A 12,759-nucleotide genomic window follows, 5' to 3' on the forward strand; every position below is an offset into this window, starting at 1 on the left:
TGATTGGAGATTTAATCAGTTTTCATGTCTCACATTTGGTGGTTACATCGCTTTAGCCTCTTTTAGTCTACGGTGGTCCTCCTGCCTTCTTGCTTTTGTTTTGTTTTACATGGCATTGGATTATTAGGAGAGTCCAGGCCTCTAGCCTGTAGAAAATCTCCCTGCAACACTCCTCCGTTGAGGACCTGACCGATGGCTTCCTCATGCTTAGATTCGAGTTAAGGGTGCTGGGAAAGACCGCCTCCCAGGGGAAGTGCACCTGTCATTGTGTCTGCAGCTCAGCACGTCCGGGTGCCGCACTGCTATCCCTCGGCTATGGTGGTGATCACCAGACATCTCCATTAGAAAGGTATGTTCTTCTCTTTGGAATCACCGAGTTACGGATCGGGTGGTACCTGCAGATCTGTCCTCTTAAGGTGAACATCTCTGAGAAAAGTAGAGCAGGAAAGAAAAGAACACAAAAGGGGGAGAAGGTAAGTAAGGAAGGGCATGTGGAAGGCATGTCATAGTCCATTTAAAAAATAAAAAGATTGAAAATATAACTATATATCACATTTATAATTATATACAGGCCTGGCACAGTGGCTCGCACTTATAATCCCAGCACTTTGGGAGGCTGAGGCAGGAGGCTCACTTGAGTCCCAGAATTCGAGACAAGCCTGGGAAACATAGTGAGACTCCTCTCTACAAAAATAAAAATAAAAATAAAAATAAATTAAAATAAATAAAATAAAATAAAATAAAATTAGCTCAGCATAGTGGCACATGCCTGCCTGTCATCTCAGCTACTCAGGGGGCTGAGGTGGGAGAATCGCTTGAACCCAGGAGGTTGAAGCTGCAATGAGCCATGGTTATGCCATTGCACTCTAACCTGGGCAGCAGAGTGAGACCTTGTCTCAAAATAAAATAAAATAAAAAGCTTCACTTAAATAGTGTGGAGAAATAAGAAATGTGAAGCTAGGGAGGTGTGACTAAGACTTGAGAGCAGACTGAGATTGTTTCGCTATTTCTCTGGACGCTGACCCTGATTTAGGGTCAATGACAACAAAATAATCCCCAACAGTAATCACTGAATTATCATTGTTGACATTCCCACCTAGTTATCCTACTTCTTAATTAGGCCTTTATTTTAGATGTGTCTCTGTATTTTAATTATACCTAATTATATGTAATTGCATATTCTTAGTTCATTTCATTATGGCTATGAGCAGAAAAGCACTTTGCCCGGAAAGTGTGCTGACTTTCCACATATTCTGTTTACTCTTCTTTCCAGTGGCCAGTGTGGATAGGGGAAGTTAATTTGTATAGACATGTTTCCCACCCTCAACAGACGCCCTTAGACACTGCTGCTATTGAGAGGCGGGGCCTATGTCTTCTTGAAATTGGGTGGGTGTTCGTGACTGTTTAGATCAGCAGAGCACAGTGGAAGCGACATTATGTGGCATCTAAGTCATAAAAAATGACCCAGGTTTCACTTTGCCCTCAAATTCTGCTATGTAGGCAGCCTCACTGCCCTGCGGTCACCATACTAGCAGGAATACCAAACCAGCTCCCCAGGAGACCATGAAGAGTGGCCCTGAGACTGCAGAGAGACAGGAAGAGAGAGAGAGAGAGTTGATTGGACAGCCCTAGTGGCTTCAGCCTCTCTCCACCAGCCCCCCATTATTCCAGTTCCCATCCACCAACTGATGGGCGTTGTTTTGAGCAACTCTGTTTGGGGTATTTTTAAATGTAGCAATACCAACAGGGCCTCCTCTTTTCACTACTCCACTTTCTTGTAAGGTGCTAGATTCCTATTCTTCTGATTGGTCTCAAAAATGAAGTGGCCCAGGGATTGAAGACACAGAACCCAGACATAGGAAATATGATTGTTAGACTGCAATATCTGAAGCCAGACCCATTGATTATATTATTGTCCCCAGAACTTTCCTTTTGTTGCTCTGTACAAGGAAAGCTTAGTCCCCCTTTGACTAGTTAAGAGAGACTATCTTTTCCCAATATCCACAGTTCTGAATCTTAACAGGCAAAAGCAGTGCAAAATAAGTCCAATTTAAATTAGTGTGACAGCAAGGGCCCGGGCCTTGGACTTAGAAGTATTGCCTTTGGGTTTCTGCCTCACTGCTTGGTTTTGTTGTTGAAAGGATGGCACCGTCCCTTTGAGCTTTCATTCTTCCTCTCTGAACTGGGAACAATACCTCACCTGTCTACTTCACCAGGTCGTATTGAGAGAGTCGTATGTGATAGCATACTTGAAAACATTTTGTAAGCTGTAATACACTAACCAAATGCAAGAGATTTTCAGTATAATTGTCACTGAGAAGTTATTTATCTGCTTTAATTCCCTCATCTGCAAGGTGGGGACAATATAATATGACCTTTCCCCTATTCTCATCAAGACACTGCTATAAATATGTGCAATAATAACTAAAGTCACTCAGATTGGGGTGTAGGGAGGAGAGGTCAGGGTGGAATATGTTAAGTAAATAATGGGTATCTATTCAACAAACAAACACTGAGTGGCTACTATGTACAGGCACCAAGGTAGGTTGTGGACATACTGAAAGCAATAAATGGCCCTTCCCATTGAGGAACTTACTGTCTAGTGGAACATTATGGCACAGAAAGCTCTCTTAATACAGTTTATTAAGTAGTAATGAAGTAGGAGCCTGAACTCAACTTCAGGGGCTGGGCTTGGACACTGGACCAAATTAAGGACTAGCTAAAACGGAGTGGAAGCAGCTTTCCATAAGACACGCCCACCAGTGCACCATGTCATTTTACCATTGCCATGGCAATGCCCAGAAGTTGCTGCTCCTTTTCACAGCAGCAGCCCAACGACTTGGAAGTTACCACCTTTCCTAGATATTTCTACATGATCTGCCCCGTAATTTGCATGTAATTAAAAGTAGGTATATGCCAGGTCCGGTGGCTCACGCCTGTAATCCCAGCACTTTGGGAGGCCAAGGAGGGCGAATCACCTGAGGTCAGGAGTTCGAGACCAGCCTGGACAACATGGTGAAACCCTGTCTCTATTAAAATACCAAAGTTAGCCTTTAGTCTCTACTAAAAATACCAAAGTTAGCCTTTGGTATCACAGGTTAATGCACCTGTAATTCCAGCTACTCGGGAGGCTGAGGCAGGAGAATCGCTTGAACCCTGGAGGGGGAGGTTGCAGTAAGCTGAGGCAGCACCACTGCCCTCCAGTCTGGGTGACAGAGCAAGACTCTGTCTCAAAAAAAAAAAAGTGTAGGTATAAATATGACTGCAGAATGCCTCTGAGCTGCTACTCTGGGCACACTGCCTATGGGGTAGCCCTGCTCCGCAAAGAGCAGTGCCTCTGCTGTTGCTGTGCACTGCTGTTTCAATAAAAGTTACAGTTTAACACCACAAGCTCACCCTTGAATTCTTTCATGGGCAAAGCCAAGAACCATCCCGGGCTAAGTCCCGATTTAGGGGCTTGCCTGTCCACCATCAGTAAAATTAGAGAGAGTCACTGTATTAGTCTGTTCTCATGCTGCTAATAAGACATACCTGAGACTGAGTAATTTATAAAGGAAGAGGTTTAATTGACTCACAGTTTAGCATGGCTGGGGAGTCCTCAGAGAACTTAAAATCATGGCAGAAGGGGAAGCAAACATGTCCTTCTTCACATGGTGGCAACAAGTAGAAGTGCTGAGCCAAAGGGGGAAAGCCCCTTATAAAATCATCAGGTCTCATGAGAACTCACCCACTATCACAAGAACAGCAGCATGGGGGTAATTGCCCCCATGATTCAATTACCTCCCACTGGGTCCCTCCCACGACACATGGGTATTATGGCAACTACAGTTCAAAATGAGATTTGGGTGGGGAGACAGCCAAACCATATCAGTAACCAAGGTGGACTCAGTGTGCATGGTTGGCAAAGCATGGTGGTAAAGATCGTGGGGTCTACACTTGACTGCTTGAGTCTAGATCTGGACCATTTACTCCCGACCTTGGAAAAGTTCCTAAAAAAAAGTTCCTAAGTTCTCTGTGCCTCAATAAAAGGAGAACAATAACCAACCGTGTTAGTTTGCCAGGGCTGCCATAATAAAGTATCAAAGCCTGGTGGTTTAAACAACAGAAATTTCTCTTACAGTTCTGGAAGCCAGAAATCTGAGATCAAAGCGTTAGCACGGTTGAGTTTCCTGAACCCTCTCTCCTCACCTCTCATATGTGTCTGTGTCCAAATTTCCTCTTAGTATAAGGACACCAGTCATATTGGATTACAGACATCCTAATTATCTCATTTAACTTACCTCTTTAAAGATCCTAGCTCCAAATAGCCTATGGAGGTACTGAGGGTTGGGACATCAACACATGAATTTGGCGGAGGGAGAGACATAATTCCTCCCAAGATCAACCTCAGAACACTGTAGAAGGAGGACATGAGACTACATGTAAGGCATTTAGCCAATGTCTAGAACACAGAGTAAACACTCAATTAGTATGAGTTATTATTATATGGTGCTATGAAGCCTATGTATTGTGAAACTCATATTTGTGAGGGAAAATCAGGGAAGGCTTCCCATAGGCAGTGATCTCTGAGAGGAGATCTGAAGGATGGTAGCATTAGCGGGTTGACAGACAAGTTGCTGGGAGTGAGGTAAATATATACCAGGCAGAAAGAACACAAAAATTATTTAAAGTACTGCTTTCTTAAACTTTAATGTGTGTATAAATCATCTAAGAATCTTATAAAAATGCAGATTCTGATTCAGCAGGTTCAGAGTGAGACATTTCTAACAAAGATCCCAGGGAATGACAGTGATGCTGGTCCCTGTTCCACACCTCCATGTAGTAACAAGTTTATAACTGGGTGCAAAATCTTAGGAGGAAAAGGCAAGTTATTTGAGGATAGCTGGCATGAAAATTGCATATGGGTGGAGATTAGAGACTGCTGGATAGGGAAAGAAGAGCAGAGATGAGACCTGTGATGCTGATCTCTGCTTAAAAGGCTAAATCACCAAGGGCCTTATAAGTTAAGCAAAGAAAGAAAGAGAGAGAGAGAGAAGGAAAGAAAGAAAAGAAAGAAAGAAAAAAGAAAGAAAGAAAGAGAGAGAGAGAGAATTTAGAGCACCAAAGACAACCAAAGAGCTTCCAAATGGAAAAATGGATTGAAGGAGAGCCCCACTGGAAGAAAGAAAACCAACTAAAATATTTTTCCTGTTAAGTAGATGAGAAATGATGGTAGTCTGATCTAACATAGTGGCCTTGGGCATGGGGAGAAGTGGAGGAATTCAAGAGATATGAAAAGACAGAATCATCCATTTGGTGACTGGTTTGCTTGGGGGAGATGAAGGGAAGGGAAGACATAAGAAAGACCTGGAATGAGGTTATTGGGTTGGTTTCAGCTGCTGACTGTCAATACAAAACAACTAAGTACACAGAGAATGGCTGTTCATTAGGAGCATACACAGGCCATGTCTTCTCCGTCTCAGTTATTCCTGCTAATTTTGGACACGGTCGGCCTGCTTTGTTCAAACCACATTCAAAAGGCCTCAATTTCTACTAAGTACTCACGGCCTAGTAGGGCAACACAAAACCAGGAAAGTAAATCTGTACTTCAAAACTCAACAGTAATTTTTGTATTTTCTCCCCAAGTGTGGCACGTGTTAGCGTTCCCAAATTAGCTATTACTCCTTGAGGGCAATGGCCATGTCAAACCTATTGTTTCCATTCCCCACAGTGCTGATGACCAAATAGGCACTAAGAGCTGGTTGACTATTTGGGAGAATAACGTCTAGATGATTACATATCAATGCCATTTGTTATCTCACAGACTGATTATAATAATAACATCTGTAAGTTGTTGAGTAACTCTTTTACGTGCATTATAAATGCCACCATCTTCTTTGGGTTATCAGACTCCTCTCAGATCCTTATGTCCAGGCAGTTTGGATAAGAATGTGTTTGACTACAGCTTCATTGAATTATTTTAATAGAATGGAAGCCTATCCATTACTGTTAAACTCCACTGCCATCTACTGTTCGTATAATAAAGTAACATATTGTGCTCTCAATCTCCGAAACTCACCTCTATGCTCTATTCCTTACAAGTGAATTTTTGTTTTCCTCAGATCTCAAGGGCTTTCTATGCTTTGAGCTTCAACACAAGTAGATGTAATTTTTAAATAGTTTTGTTACAACAATCCAGCATGATATTGACAATTTTCTTTCATGGGCAAAAAAGTTCATGGTGTTATAGAAAAGTAAACATTTTTCACTTAATGAAACCATGAGCTTTTCATGTGCCTCCCCCCACATAAAGAAACTAAAAGAAAAAGGTAATGGAATTACTGAAAAATGCATCCCCACCTCTAGGAGATATCACTAAATTGGACATCTCTGTCGGCCACATTCCATTCAGAGTGTGACCCTCATCCTTCAAGGTCCTGTTTTCAAATGATACCTTCTCCATAAAACGTTCCCTGATTCTTCACTCTGTAATTAAATTCTTCATTCCACAATTGGTAATTGTTATAACTTATCCACATAAATGAAGAAAGTCAAAAACTCCAGTTTAAAAAAATAACTTTGTAAATCATCCCCCCTCATCTTCCCTACTCTGTTGGTTCTTGTTTTTAGACTGGACTCTCAGGTGCAACAATATTATTGTTACTGGTGGAGAGTACTGACTACAAATCACCCAGGTTCTTGGCATTTTGAACAAAGAATTGGACAAAATTCACAAACAAAGCAACAAAAAAGTGAAGCGACAAAAGCATAGATTTACTGAAACAAAAGTACACTCCACAGAGCGGGAGCGGGCTCAAGCAAGTGGCTCAAGAGCGCTGGTTACAGAATTTTCTGGGGCTTAATTTTTTTATTTTTTTGAGGCGGAGTCTTGTTCTGTCACCCAGGCTGGAGTGCGGTGGCACATTCTTGGCTCACTGCAACCTACACCTCCCAGGTTCAAGCAATTCTCCTGCTTCAGCCTCCCCAATAGCTGGGATTACAGGCCCACACCACACCTGGCTAATTTTTGTAATTTTAGTAGAGATAGGGTTTCACCATGTCGGTTGGCCAGGCTAGTCTGGAACTCCTAACCTTGTGATCCACCCTCCTCAGCCTCCCAAAGTGGTGGGATTACAGGTGTGAGCCATCGTGCAGCATGGGGTTTAAATAGCCTCTAGAGGTTTCCCATTGGTTACTTGGTTACACCCTATGTAAATGAAGGAGTGGCCCGTCACAAGTCTGACTGATCATGGGAGGTGACCAATCAGAGTCTGAAGTGACGGTAGTTACAAAGTTACACATGAAGACTTGGCCTGCAACCAGTCTGAATGGTTGTGGGAGGGGACCAATCAGAGGTACTTTCCATTTTTCATTTGCAGTGCAGTGCAAAGGGAGTAGCCTCTGATCCTTTCGTTACATTCGTGTGAAGAGGTGGGGTTTCCCCTCTGATTCAGTTCTAGGAAGTCAGTGAGAATTGGCCTTAGGTTCCCTGCCTCTAGACCCTATTCTCCTGTCTCATTTTCCCGCTGTGAGACATGATCCCCATAAATCTTTATGGGAGGCAGAGGGACCAATGGTCTTTCTTCTGTAACTGCTTCATGCTGACTTGGGGTGCGGTGCCTACCTATTTGGGATCACAGAACTCTCACTCTGCTCTGTCTAGTGGATACAGGGTAGCTTCTTGATGGCCAGTAGTGGTGTCTTCACCTGAACTGGCTGGAAACCTTGTTGCATGATCATCTGAAGCTTGATGGTCTCTAGGCGAGAGGAAATTAATTTGGTTAATGTATTTAATAAATATGGTCCAAAAACCAAGGCAAGTATAATTAACAACGAGCCAGTCAGAGGAAGGACTCATGAACCCCTAATTAGCATTTTTGAACAGGAGGACCACGACTTGGACAGCTGTTGTCGTATCTTAGAAGCCTGGTCAGCTAATTTCTGGGTGGCATCCCTTACTAATTCTAATTGGTTGACATAAAAACAGCATTCTTCCTCTAGAAAAAGACATAAGCCACCTTTTCCAGCAGTTAGGAGATCCAGTCCCCTTCTATTTTGTAAAGCAACTGCTGCCAAGGAGTCTGTTTGAGTTTGTGTTGTGACGATACTTTGGGCAATGTCATCCAAGCTTTCCACAAAATCCTTGGAAAGTGCTGGTAACAGTATAGGGAAGTTGCAAGCCCGGTAACTCCCGTTCCTGCTCTCACTGTTATTCCTAGCCCAACAAAAAGGCGTTTGAGTTGGATTGCTCATTTGTGTCTGGCGGTTGCAGTTAAAGGTATAATGAGGGATTGGTTGTTGAGAGCTCTCCCTCTCTCTCTCTAAATATATATATATATATACACATATATATATAGTTTGTTTGTTTTGAGACAGTCTCCCTCTGTCACCCAGGCTGGAGCACAGTGGCTCAGTCTTGGCTCACTGCAACCTCTGTCTCCAGGGTTCAAGTGATTCTCCTGTCTCAGTCTCCAGAGTAGCTGGGATTACAGGTGTGCGCCACCATACCCGGCTAATTTTTTGTATTTTTAGTAGAAACAGGGTTTCAGCATGTTGGCCAGGCTGGTCTCGAACTCCTGACCTCAGGTGATCCGCCTGCCTCGGCCTCCCAAAGTGCTGGGATTATAGGCGTGAGAAACTGCGCCCGGCCGGGAGCTATATTGATTTCGGAGGCTAAAAACCAAGTGTACAGGTTCCAGTCCAATTGGCTGGTAAACACAGTAGGAACTGGTGCTGCACAGGGAAAAGGTTCCTTGTTTTTCAAGACAAAAATTGTTTTCCATGGTGAACATGTGGGTTAGCTTGTTGTTTTCACTTTCCCAAGTGGTTAAGTTTCCTACTAAAGTGGCCAAGCGAAAATGTCAACCCAGCTAGTGGGCCCACCTTCACAGTACTTAGACTGTGCATCCTTTAAAGTGCCCTTAACTAGGGATGGTTTCCATGAAAAGCATACAGGTTTTCTAAACGATGCAGTTTGGTTAATTGCATAGCTTACATGATTGTGTGAGGGTTAATTTCTGGGGTGTGGTTGCATTGAAGACTTCAAGTTCCCACGACCTGAACAGAATTTTGGCTTCTTTCAATACAAAGTGGCATCTGGAATTTTAGCTCTGTGTATGTTGATGTTGGGCCCCTAATGGGTTTCTGTGGGAATGCACCCTCAAAAAGGTTGCTCTGATTGGACTGGAGAGGGTTTACTGCTCATCCTGTCATTTTAACCTTTGTCATTTCCATACTTTTGAAGTCTTATAAGTCATCCAGATTCATTAATTCAAAGGGAGTTCCTCCCTGGTAGTTGGAATGATAGGTCATTTTTTTCAAGGACCCAAGATCGGGCTGGGATAGGGATGGCAGTGTATCTGGATGAAGATAGGAGATAAACAAAGCCAACAGTCCTTTGCCAGAGCTGAGCTGGTGGTATTTAACAGTCTTTGCATTAAATTTAAAGTTCTTAATAAATACCCAGAATCTATTAATTGCCAGAGGGGTAAAGTGAAGCTCTGTTGTAAAATAAAGCTGATTCCCTGTATGCGGTGTCCCTGTGTATACTGGGTGTATACTGGGTGTCCATTATGGAACAAAAAAAAAATACTTATTTGCTATTTTGTTCTATAGAATGGGAACTTCAGGGGGTGGATACCTGTGCTGTCAGGAATGCTAGTTATAAAAATGAATTAAAACACTTCATATATTACAAAGGAAGTGATTCCATCTATTTGGACGAAAGCAATTAAACTGCAAAAATATAAAAAATGGCAACTATTATTCAGTCTACAGTAACTATGCAACAAAGACACCAAGGAAAGTTGGTAGGCATTTACGTATCTCACTTAAAACAAGTCTATAAAGTGGTTTATTTTAAGAAGGGTACATTTTAAGAAGGACAAAATCAAAAGCATGGACAAGTGTTGGATGAGCTGATGAGGTTGTGGCAATTTACTTTGTGAATACTGTGAGAGTTTGTCCAACTCGCTGTGCTTAGGTACTAGATGGTGAGGATTTAAAAGGTCAATGAAGTCACAGCAGACCAGCACTCAAACATATTTCTCTTCTATTTCCTACTTTTGAATAAAAATGTCAGAAGTGGGCGGTGGGAAAGGAACAAGCAAAGGAGTAATTATTTGAATAAATTTTTGGCGAAACGTGGGTGTCTGACGGGGAGGCTGTGCGGTGGTGACCAACGCACCCATGCGCTGGGTTTCACAGATGCAGACTGAAGTCCAGGCTCTGCTGCAGATTAACGGGGTGGCCGCCAGCAAGTCAAGTGACTTGCTCTTCTGTGCACTGCATGTACTTGGGTTCCTCTCACAGGTATTCCTGTTTTTCCTCTTTCTTGCTCCAGGTTACACCTCGTGGCGCGGCGCTCTCGGAGAGCCTGTGGAGTGGCCCTGTGTCCCTCCCTGACCCCTGGAGGATTCCGTAAGGTCACAGTCACCGCCTCCATCCCCTACTTGCCATGTCTTCAGGGCTAATGCATAACAATTATCACAATTTACAGCAGCCCCACGCTCTGAAGAGCTTCTGGAGGGGATACTACTCAAGCGGAGGAAGGCAAGACAGGGACCTCCTCCCTCTTCCCGGACCTCTTCTGATAAGGAATATTTGTAGGTGGTTAAGAAAGGCAGCGGGAGGGCGTGAAGGCAAAGACAAGCTTTTTTTCTCGTAGGAACACACATCTTCTGGTCTGGCTGTGTTTCCGGAGGCATTTCCAGAGGACCTAGCGAGGACCAACTTCCGGCTGCGACTTCCGCGTCTTCCGAGTTTCGAGACCTGCTGCTTCCGCCCGGAGTTGTTGTGGGCTCCAGCAGCGAGTAGCCACTTCCGCTAGGAGTCCCTAGCGGCCAGGGCGTGGAAGCGGATTCTGAGGCGGCTTTCTCCTACTGCCCTCCGCTTGCCAACGCGGGACCCGGAGCCCAACGGCAGCGGCGGTCCTTGGGCCTGTGGAGAGGGGTTCTCTGTGGCCGAGTCCTAGGCCTGGTGAACCGCGCGGTGCGGGAGAGGCGCTTGGGCCTCGTCCAGCCCCAGCCCCTGTCTCCCCGCGGCCGGTGCCGGCGGCTGTAGGCCTCGCCGCGCCCACCCAGCCTGGGGCGGGCCCAGCCTCACCGCCCGGCCCGCCCCGCCCCACGGGCCAGCCCCGCGCCGGGTGTTTCCGCTACTTCCCTGCGGCGGGGTAACCGCCTCGCACCTACCGGGCTCGGTTCCCTGGCTCCGGCCGCGGGGGAGCATGGAGTTTGCGGAGCTGATTAAGACCCCGCGGGTGGACAATGTGGTGCTGCACCGGCCTTTCTACCCGGCTGTCGAGGGCACCCTGTGCCTGACGGGCCACCACTTGATCCTGTCCTCCCGGCAGGACAATACGGAGGAGCTGTGGCTCCTCCATTCAAACATCGACGCCATCGACAAGCGGTGAGTGCCCGCCCCACCCCAGCTCCGCAGGGAGCCGGGGGTCCCTTGTGGGCGCCCCGGGAAATACTTCCTGGCGTTTTCCGCGCAGCCTGCCGCCCAGCTAGCCGGCAAGATGAGCCCTCTGTGGCCTAGAATCAGGATTTACCAAGCTGAAACCCGTCCAGATGGAGGACCCGGTTTCCATTAAACCTGGATGGAGTTCTCAGGGTTATCGTGTGGCTGGTACCATCCTGATGATCATTTCTGGTTCGTAACACCATTTGGGTGGATTTTCGGCATTGTCTTTATAAATTTCTTCTTCTTCTTGCCCCATCGTATTCCTTGAATTGGTATTGTCAGTCACCGTTCATGAAGTGATTGGATGTGATTTAGGTAAAGTCTTTACCATTTCTGAGGAAAACTAAACAGATTATAAAGTTATGAGTGTCTACATGCTACAGAACCATTTTTTTAATTTCTGAAAAATGTTCAGTGTATCATATTATTTCTTACCTTCTGGGTCATCAAAATTTAATTCTCACTAAGGGAGATTCTGATGTCTTCTCTTCATCTTTACTCAATTCTGCTTGCTGAAAGAACAGGGTTGGCTCTCAAGGAAAGGCATGGACCAGTTAACCTCTTTTTTCTTTTTGTACTCCAGACTTTATCTTTCCAAGGCAGTGCCTCGAAGTCAAAAAGTTAAACTTTCATCTGCATTCAAAATTCCCATCTCCTTAGTGGCTACTCGCTAGCCAGGAGAGGGCAAACTGATTATCCGTTTTACACAGAAGTATAAATGAATGACGACAACATTTTCTATTGCCTCACAGGATAATTTGGATATTAGGAAGATTCGTACAGAGGATATGCCTTAAAATAATAATCTCTTTCTTTCTTTCTTTTTTTTTTTTTTTTTTTTTTGGAGACGAAATCTCACTGTATTGCCCAGGCTGGAGTGCGGTGGCCAATCTCGGCTCACTGTAACCTCCACCTCCCAGGTTCTAGCGATTCTTCTGTCTCAGCCTCCCGAGTAGCTGGGATTACAGGCACGCGCCACCACACCCGGCTAATTTTTGTATTTTTTAGTAGAGATGGGGTTTCACCATATTGACCAGGCTGGTCTTGAACTCCTGACCTCGCAATCCTCCCGCCTAGGCCTCCCACAGTTCTGGGATTACAGGCGTGAGCCACTGCGCCTGGCCTAAAATAAAAATTTCTAATGGTAGAATTGCAGGCAGTTTGGGTGAAGCCATGGTAGATTGATTGATTGATATGAGCAGGGGGCTCTTATTAGTCTCCTCAAGCCACCTTTTGCTGTATAAAGTCTTCAGTGGGCCCGGCACGGTGGCTCACGCCTGTAATCCCAGCACTTTGGGAGGCCAAGGTGAGCGGATC

At 44.9% G+C, this 12,759-nt stretch overlaps 1 protein-coding gene and 1 long non-coding RNA gene across 4 annotated transcripts in view, besides 6 other annotated features; one reads left to right on the forward strand and one right to left on the reverse strand.

Annotated features, from left to right (window-relative positions):
- Positions 1-10,346, reverse strand: part of LINC00529 (long intergenic non-protein coding RNA 529) — a 36,768-nt gene extending 26,422 nt beyond the window's left edge. Inside the window, exons 1-3 of the long non-coding RNA NR_170283.1 lie at positions 10,166-10,346; positions 7,604-7,736; positions 260-426 (exon numbers count right to left, since the gene is read on the reverse strand). This is a non-coding gene — a long non-coding RNA (long intergenic non-protein coding RNA 529). The remainder of the gene's footprint in view (positions 1-259; positions 427-7,603; positions 7,737-10,165) is intronic.
- Positions 7,268-7,317: a silencer, noted in NCBI's record as "silent region_18926". NCBI's record gives its function as "represses an Ori minimal core promoter by ATAC-STARR-seq in GM12878 lymphoblastoid cells {active_cell/tissue: GM12878}" and the evidence as "EXISTENCE:reporter gene assay evidence [ECO:0000049][PMID:35858748]".
- Positions 10,100-10,189: an enhancer, noted in NCBI's record as "active region_27003". NCBI's record gives its function as "activates an Ori minimal core promoter by ATAC-STARR-seq in GM12878 lymphoblastoid cells {active_cell/tissue: GM12878}" and the evidence as "EXISTENCE:reporter gene assay evidence [ECO:0000049][PMID:35858748]".
- Positions 10,280-10,339: an enhancer, noted in NCBI's record as "active region_27004". NCBI's record gives its function as "activates an Ori minimal core promoter by ATAC-STARR-seq in GM12878 lymphoblastoid cells {active_cell/tissue: GM12878}" and the evidence as "EXISTENCE:reporter gene assay evidence [ECO:0000049][PMID:35858748]".
- Positions 10,615-11,116: an enhancer, noted in NCBI's record as "H3K27ac hESC enhancer chr8:11141809-11142310 (GRCh37/hg19 assembly coordinates)". NCBI's record gives its function as "activates a minimal SCP1, AML or CMV promoter by ChIP-STARR-seq in primed H9 embryonic stem cells {active_cell/tissue: H9 hESC(primed)}" and the evidence as "EXISTENCE:reporter gene assay evidence [ECO:0000049][PMID:30033119]".
- Positions 10,615-11,219: a biological region, named in NCBI's record as "H3K27ac hESC enhancer GRCh37_chr8:11141809-11142310".
- Positions 10,810-11,219: a silencer, noted in NCBI's record as "silent region_18927". NCBI's record gives its function as "represses an Ori minimal core promoter by ATAC-STARR-seq in GM12878 lymphoblastoid cells {active_cell/tissue: GM12878}" and the evidence as "EXISTENCE:reporter gene assay evidence [ECO:0000049][PMID:35858748]".
- The window catches only part of MTMR9 (myotubularin related protein 9), a 54,711-nt gene continuing 53,082 nt past the window's right edge, over positions 11,131-12,759 (forward strand). For all 3 annotated transcript variants that reach the window (XM_047422125.1, NM_015458.4, XM_017013753.3), the window contains exon 1: positions 11,131-11,385. In XM_047422125.1, coding sequence (XP_047278081.1) covers positions 11,204-11,385 — 182 coding nt within the window. In that variant the 5' untranslated portion in view covers positions 11,131-11,203. The remainder of the gene's footprint in view (positions 11,386-12,759) is intronic.

Source organism: Homo sapiens, chromosome 8 (assembly GCF_000001405.40).
Source record: "Homo sapiens chromosome 8, GRCh38.p14 Primary Assembly".
Lineage (NCBI taxonomy): Eukaryota > Metazoa > Chordata > Mammalia > Primates > Hominidae > Homo > Homo sapiens.